This window comes from Homo sapiens, chromosome 1 (assembly GCF_000001405.40).
Source record: "Homo sapiens chromosome 1, GRCh38.p14 Primary Assembly".
NCBI lineage: Eukaryota > Metazoa > Chordata > Mammalia > Primates > Hominidae > Homo > Homo sapiens.
In genome coordinates this window covers 153,211,227-153,219,310 of record NC_000001.11, presented here as the reverse complement: position 1 = coordinate 153,219,310, position 8,084 = coordinate 153,211,227, and the positions used below count along the sequence as shown (strand labels likewise).

General features: G+C 44.7%; 1 protein-coding gene across 1 annotated transcript; it reads right to left on the bottom strand.

The window, feature by feature from the left end:
- On the bottom strand, positions 1–1,727 carry PRR9 (proline rich 9). The gene is made up of 2 exons (NM_001195571.2): positions 1,692–1,727; positions 1–1,186 (listed from the first exon to the last, which is right to left on the bottom strand). Exon 2 carries the CDS (start codon positions 1,164–1,166, stop codon positions 816–818), a length of 351 nt encoding a protein of 116 aa, NP_001182500.1. The 5' UTR covers positions 1,167–1,186; positions 1,692–1,727; the 3' UTR covers positions 1–815.
- Positions 1,728–8,084: the final 6,357 nt, after the last annotated feature.

The following is an 8,084-nucleotide window of genomic DNA, read 5'->3' as shown; positions in this document are numbered from 1 at the left end:
TCAGCCTTAGGATCAGCTTTATTATGTATTTTACCTTCACCAGGGAGAAGAAGGCAAGGAAGCTGGAGAACAGACCAGCCTGCATCACACAGACACAAATCACATCTCTAAAGAGTGTACATGGTGAGAACTAAGGGCCCACATTAGACCAGCTATGAAGCACAGAGATTGACAAGGGCACCAAACATCCATCTTATCTTTCCCTTCTGGTTGTTTGGATTCAATCGTTTACATACTTTCGGTTCATTTTAAAAAAGCACAACCAACATTTCAAAGTTCAATAATTTGCTGTTCTTTTTAGTGTACAGAGACAAAATCACCAAATTTTTGATTTTTGAAACACCGCAAGCCGCTTTGTCTCAACACCTGTGGTGGTGGTGGTGGTGGAGGTGGTGGTGGTGGTGATAAGTGGAAAGTCCATCAGAATTCAGTTTGTTTTGAGGCTTATTTGAGAGCCTGAAACTCTGAAAGATGAATGAAGGTATCCTTGGCTGTTACACACCCAGAGCTGGGTGAATTTTTGCACCAAGGAAGCTGTGCTAGGCTTCTGTGGTCTTCCCTGACAACCACACCATTCCTACATTTGAGACCTTCCATCAGACTGCTGAGAACAATGCTTATTCACAGAGGGTGATGAAATACAGAAAGAACTGTCTTCAGAGACACAGACCAAGTCCTGGAATGCTAAGGAAGCCAGGAGGCAAGAAGGTACATTGCACACAGAGGTACCCACAGAAGAAGGTCACCAGAGCGTGGGCTGGGGTCAGGGTTTCATCTGCTGGCCATCTTCTTGAACCCAGATGACATATGAGCAGCTACTTTCCCTTGCCAGGGGATGAGCACTTCTCCTGGACTTTCTGTGGGCAAACCTCCACACATTTTGTCTGGAATAGCTCCTGGCATGGCTCTGCACACTGAGGTGGACACTGGTCTTGGCATGGAGGTAGGTATGGCTCTTGGCCTTGCTGTGGGCATTTTTCTTGACTTGATTCCTGGCACTGAGAAAGACATACCTCCTGGGCCTGCACTAGACACTTATCTTGGCAGGGGTGCTGGCATGTGGGGAGGCACACCTCCTCAGCCTTTGCTTGGCACTGCTCCTGGGTCTTTGGGAGGCATGGAGGGGGCACACATGGCTGCTTGCACTGCTGCTCACTGAAGGACATCCTAGGGTGATTTGCAGAGCCTGAAAAAAACACAAGATTCGAAATTATCTGTATTAAAAATATCAGCATGGGAACTGGGGAATGAAGGGTTGAGAAAGAGGAATGAGGAGTGGATGGAAGAACTAATGGAATGGAATGAGGAGTGGAAGTAAGAACTAATTTCTTGGCTGCTTTTTATCTCTTTCTCTTTTCTATCCTGGCTGCAGCTCCCTGTGGCACCTGTCTCCAAAGTGGGAGTGTTCTCCTGGCCTCTGTCTAGACATCCATAGCTCCAAACCCCAGTCTTACCACAGGTTTTTTTCCCTTCTCTTCTAGTCTACGAATCCTTTTGAAAATCAGGTGCAAGAGACTAGACTAGATAGGCAAATTCTAGTCTGGATAGAATATACAGGATAGTTTGTGAGGCCCAAGAAATGGCAAACCACTTAAAAAATCAGTAGAAAGTACAGTCCATAAGAGGAACAGAACAGCGGCCGCCTAAAGACAGAGTAACAGGGAGAGAGAGGGCACAGATGCCCCACTTACCTGATCTTCAACAAGACTCAACAAAGGCTGTGGACTGTGAAGCCCAGCAAGGTGGGACTTTTATATGTTGCTTAGTCCAGCCTCCCGCGGGACTGACTGGTCACATGGGCTGTGGTATTAATTGTGGAGTCACCATAACAAGCTTCCTCTGAAATTGCCGATGGTTTGAGTCACTGCTTGGGATGCCTGTTAATCAGACTGCATTTTGGCCTGTGGGTCCTCACCAGACCTCAGCAGGGAGGGGCTTCTCTCAGATCTCTCTCATCAGAGGCAGCAGGAAAAGAATGTTCATAAAGTGTTATCTCAGTCTGTTCAACCAGGATTCCTTGTCTGCCCAAACTGGTACAGGATGTGGTGAGAGATAAGATCCACCTTGCTCATCTCATCTTCACCAATGGGAAGATTTTATGCCTAAGGCCTGGGGCCTCTCTGGGTCAAGGGCTTGTATGGCCTGTTGCAGACACTTCTTCATCAAGCCTAGAAAGTCACCCTTCAGATGCAAGGATGAAGGCTCGTCCTGTGGTTCCAAGCGAACAAAGGGCTTTCAGCCTGCTGAAGAGAGTGATTTTCCTGCGTGATGGTCTTGAGGGAAATTGCGGTTCATTTGTTACTCTTGGGTTGTGAAGTGGGGTGAAGGGGAAGAGAGAGGAAGGAGAAGGCAGACAATCTTCATCTTCTCAACCTTGATTTATGACACCCTTATGAAAGTGGAGTTACTCACAGAGTTTTCATAGTGACCAGGAGAACAGGCTGGAACAAAGTTAACTTGTCTCTTTGCCTTCTGGAAAACGTTTTCTTAGAACTCAAGTCAATAAAAGTCAGGGGATGAAAGGAAAAGTTTCAAAGCAAACACACCCAGTTTTCTCTACCTCTACTTTCTAGTTTGGGCTGTTAGTTTTTACCTGGTGTGTTCTCCCTGTGCCTGTGGGAATCCTAAGCATTCTGCAAAGCTTTACTCATGTCTACCACCCTCTGAGAGCCTTTCCTGATTACTCTAAACCAGAAATGAATCCACCTCTTTATGCACTCCCATGGTATCTATTATTTATATTATTCATATGACATTTACTATTGAAATTAGGACTTTCCAGATATTTATATATAGATCTTATTTTTTCCTGGGTTATAAGTTCCTAGAGGATAGGTACTATGCCATAGGTATAGTAAGTGGAAGATGATGGAAGACAAATGATTATTGATGGGGTAAATGTATTAATGAAGGAATACAGAAGGTGGATGTGGGAGAGCTGGGAGTAGAGGAAAATCTCATTTAATTGAAAATGGGAAAAGATTTACTTTGAAAGAAGCCCCCATTTCCTTAAAATGGTGGTTCTGTGTTTGCTGAAGTTGACCAAATTCAAGGGTCTTTAAATATGATGATGTTCCCTTCCTTTCTCCTTAATTTAAAGTTATGTTCTCACACACAGGGGCCTGTTGTGGGGTGGGAGGAGAGGGGAGGGATAGCATTTGGAGATATACCTAATGTTAAATGACGAGTTACTGGGTGCAGCACACCAACATGGCACATGTATACATATGTAACTAACCTGCACGTTGTGCACATGTACCCTAAAACTTAAAGTATAAAAAAAAGTTATGTTCAATCTCTTAACTTGAAGGGGTAGGTTTAAGTCATTTCCTAAGAAGAATATTTGGCTAAAATCAAAAATGTCTCAAATGTTTATATAGGTTTTGGATGCTTGATACCTGAAAAGTTTTTAAAAGGTAAGCTGGGGAGATCAGGAAGCATTTTTGACCTTTGAGACTGGTTCTCAGAGGTTAATGTGACATCACCATGAGCCCCATTGAGGTCCTGGCAGTAGACAGAGGCCTGAGAGTGGAAGGACTTGGAATACCCAGGTGTATATCTGAAGAGAAAAAGTCATTTGGGGCATCTGGGAGAGTAGGTGTAGGGTGGGGAGACTCATCCTTCTTTTTCTCCTCCTTTTTCATCTCCTCCTTTCAATTCTCTTCCTCTTTGTATTTTTCATCTTTTCTTAGAATGCTGTTGAAGAGACAAAGCAACTCTCCTGTGTCCTAGAAAGCAAGGAATTCATCACAGATTTTAATAATATGTTCTTTCAGTCACTCATGGCCCCTATGTGATGTCGATGCATTTCCCTTCCAAAATGACTCACAGTTCCATGGAGAATATGGCCAGAGGTAAGCCCCTGTGCTCCAGAAGAAGGCCTCTTCCTTGGTTTTGGGTGGAAGGTCATGGAAGGCTCCTGGGGGAGGGGATGTCTGTGCTTTGTCTTACCGGACAGTATGAGTTACCCAGGCAAGGACGGTGGACAAGGGCATTTCAGGTGGCCTCTAGGAAAGAATCCTTGTTGGGAGGCTGTTGAAGTACAGAGATACAAGTGAAATGAAAGGATAGATGGAGGCCAGCTTAGGAAAGGAATGAGCAAGAGAATCCGGGAAGAGACCTTCTTAGCTGGGATTTCTGGAAGTTTCCTGTGACAGGATGCATGAGATGACCTTGCTCATGTCATGTATGCCTGTGACTTTGGTTAAGCCCCAGGACAAGGAGACTAAATAGAAATGTGCAGAACAAGAGACTAGATCGTGTTCTCATGGAGGGGAGGTGAGCCCAGTTAGGTAGAGCCCAGAGTTTGACTCCTCTCACTGGATGCCCTGCCTGCCATCAAGTTGATTCATGACAGTGGAACAATCTTGAAATTGACCCCAAAGTCCTTCTGTGGTAGGCAGAATAATGGCCTCCTAGATATGTTCGCCACCTAATCGCTAGAATTTGTAAACACGTTAGGTTACTTGGCAAGAGAGACTGAAAGTAGTGAATAAAATCAAAGTTGCTAATCAGACTACTTTAAAATAGGGAGATTATCCTTGATTATCCAGGTGGGGCCAACATAAGTGTACGGCTCTTAAAAGCAAGAAGAGTCTGTCAGAGTGATGTGATTTGAGAAAGACTTAACTGGCCATTGCTGATTTTGAATATGGAAGGAGTCCACGAGCCGGAAATGAGGGCGGCTTCTACAGTCTGGAAACAGATTCTCCAGTAGGACCTCCGGAAAGACGTGCAGCTTTGCAGGCACTCTATTTCAGTCTGGTGAGACTTCTGTCAGCCTCTGAGCTCCAGAACTGTCATAGGATTCACTTTTGTTGTTTTAAGCCACTAAATTTGTGGTAACTTGTCACAGAAGCAGTAGAAACCTAATAACCTTCCTAGTGCTGGAGGCTCTTGGGAGCTCTTGAGGAAGGGAGCCTCAGATGAAGAATAAAATCTCATTTACCATTCCCTCATTTAAATATATTCCTACTTGTCATGTCAGCATCCTCAATCAAAGGCTAGCTTTTGATAAAGAGGCACTGAGCTGGGCGTGGTGGCTCACGCGTATAATCCCAGCACTTTGGGAGGCTGAGGCAGGTGGATCACTTGAGGTCAGGAGTTTGAGACCAGCCTGGCCAACATGGTGAAACCCCGTCTCTACTAAAAATACAAAATTAGACGGGCGTGGTGGCGGGCTCCTGTAATCCTAGCTAATGGGGAGGCTGAGGCAGGAGAATCGCTTGAACCCAGCAGGTGGAGGTTGCAGGGAGCTGAGGTTGTGCCATTGCACTCCAGCCTGGGCAAAAAGAGTGAGACTCCATCTCAAAAAACAAAGCAAAACAAAACAAACAACAACAAAAAAGAGCGACTGAGATATATGGAGAAAGAACTCAGGATTCCATTCATCTGGGGTTGACTATCACATAGAGTATATGCAATATTGGATAAGTGATTTAACCTCTCATAATCTCAATTTCCTCTTGTTGAGAAAGGAAAATACTATTTCACAGATTTCTTGTGAGGAATAAATTAGACAATGTATGCTCCAAAACTTAGGGCCATCAAGCTACTTATGAATATTAGTGCAATCTGAATCAGTTCAGGACTCACCTCCTCCATGAAGCCTTCCTTGATTTCCCTGGTTCTTCTTGTTCTATGTCCTTTGCTCTGTCCCTCCAATACTTGGTCTTTGACTTGAATTTTTTTTTTTTTTTTTGAGATGGAGTCTTGCTCTGTCGGCCAGGCTGGTGTGCAGTGGCACGTGATCTCGGGGCAGTGCAACCTCTGCCTCCCAGGTTCAAGCGATTCTCCTGCCTTAGCCTCCCAAGTAGCTGAGACTACAGGCACATGCCACCACACCCAGGTAATTTTTGTGTTTTTAGTAGAGACGGTGTTTCACCATGTTGTTCAGGCTGGTCTCGATCTCTTGATCTTGTGATCCACCCCCTTGGCCTCCCAAAGTGCTGGGATTACAGGCGTGAGACACTGCACATTTTTCTTTAAAACAGGTTCAAATTCTGCCATGTATTTATCTCTCCACGTGTGTGTGTCATAGAACATCTAATACATGCCCAAAGCCAAACTCCTGATCTTGCCTCAAAAACTCCTCCTACCACAGTCTTCCTCAGCTCAGTAAGTGGCCTGGCCTCATCATCTTTAAAATAGGAAAGTTAGACTTTCAGTCAGGTCCATCACATCTCTGACATTCTGTGATACTGTAAATGTGATCACGAATGGGTAGCCTGGGTAACTGTGTAACTTTGTAGTGTGTGGACACGTGTGTGGGCACTTTTTCCTTGGTCAGGTTGTAATGTACCCATAGGAAGACCCAGTCTTCTGTCTTCTGCATGCGGCAGTGGCTCACCCAGTGGCTGATTGACCTTAGGTGACCTGTCTTTTCCTAGGTGGGGAGTGGGAGTATTTGGGGCCTGAGTCCTCAAAAATCAATCTTGGTGGCCCAGTATCTGGGGTTGTGGATTAGAAAGCTTTGGAAAAATTGTCTCACCCCAAATCTTAAGATAAGGTGACTAAGTTGTTTCTGTGATCATCCCCAGCCCTCCAGCAAGATTGGAGTTAATCTGATTTAATGACATCTGAGATTTAAGATTTTAGACTTTTGGAGCTGTCATTATTGGGAGCCAGGGCATAATTAGACAGGATCAGCAGAAGAGTCTCAGGTGTGTGCAAGACAGTTTTTTTTTCTCCCATTCCCATCAAATAACTATCTCCTCTGTTCAGATCTTAAAAGTCCTCAGACTCCTCTGACCCATTCATCTGCATATTACAGGGCAATGTCTCTGATAGAGCTGAATGGTGCAGAATTTGGTTTCCTGCAGAGCGGGTGCCCCTGGGCAGCTTGCGAATTCCTGGGAGGAAGTCCACCACTCCTCTCCCTTCCTTTCCTCCTGTGTCACCCACACAGGGGGTCTGAATCAGAGGTGTGAATTCAGGAAAGAGCTGTAAATCACAAGCCCTCAGGGCCAGACGGGACTTGAGAGGCCACCTGATTCTATCTCCTTGTTTTAGCCCCAGCACGTGCTTTAAACAGGAGACACAGAACTATTTATTGACTGCGTTTTTTAGATGAGGAAACTGAGGCACAAAAGTGTCAAAGATCTTGTTCAAGATTACGTGGTCAGCTCATGTCTGGTCTGGGCAATGGTCCACATAAAAAACACTTAGCTATTGTCAATAATGCCGCAATAAACATACGTGTGCATGTGTCTTTATAGCAGCATGATTTATAGTCCTTTGGGTATATACCCAGTAATGGAACCAACCCAAATGTCCAACAATGATAGACTGGATTAAGAAAATGTGGCACATATACACCATGGAATGCTATGCAGCCATAAAAAATGATGAGTTCATGTCCTTTGTAGGGACATGGATGAAATTGGAAATCATCATTCTCAGTAAACTATCGCAAGAACAAAAAACCAAACACCGCATATTCTCACTCATAGGTGGGAATTGAACAATGAGATCACATGGACACAGGAAGGGGAATATCACACTCTGGGGACTGTTGTGGGGTGGGGGGAGGGGGGAGGGATAGCATCGGGAGATATACCTAATGCTAGATGACGAGTTAGTGGGTGCAGCGCACCAGCATGGCACATGTATACATATGTAACTAACCTGCACAATGTGCACATGTACCCTAAAACTTAAAGTATAATAATTAAAAAACAAAAACAAAAACACTTAGCAGACCAGTGTATTGGGGATTCCTTATAAGCTTTGGGAAGACAACAAAGACACAGACCAGCCAGTGGCTGTTCACAGTTTGGGATCACAGGAAATACTCACATGTACATGCCGTCATCTATAGGGTGTTCAGGGACTTCAGGTCAAAGATCACCAACACAGATGGTGGGGAGGAAGGATGTTCCCCAGTTACTTAAATTTGTTGTAGATCTTCAACTTTTTCCCTTTTGAGTTTGATTTCTGGCGAACCTTGGCCTAAATCAGGATTAGAAATCCTGGATGCTTTCTACAACCGACACGCTGTGACTTTGGTTGTTCCCCTCTCTGGACCTTCGCTTCCTCATGTAGACACTGAGGATATTTTAAATGCCACGTTCAGCTCTGATATT

Coding starts and splice junctions, on each gene's coding strand:
- PRR9 (NM_001195571.2), bottom strand. CDS start 1,166: ATGTCCTTCAGTGAGCAGCAGTGCAAGCAGCCATGTGTGCCCCCTCCA.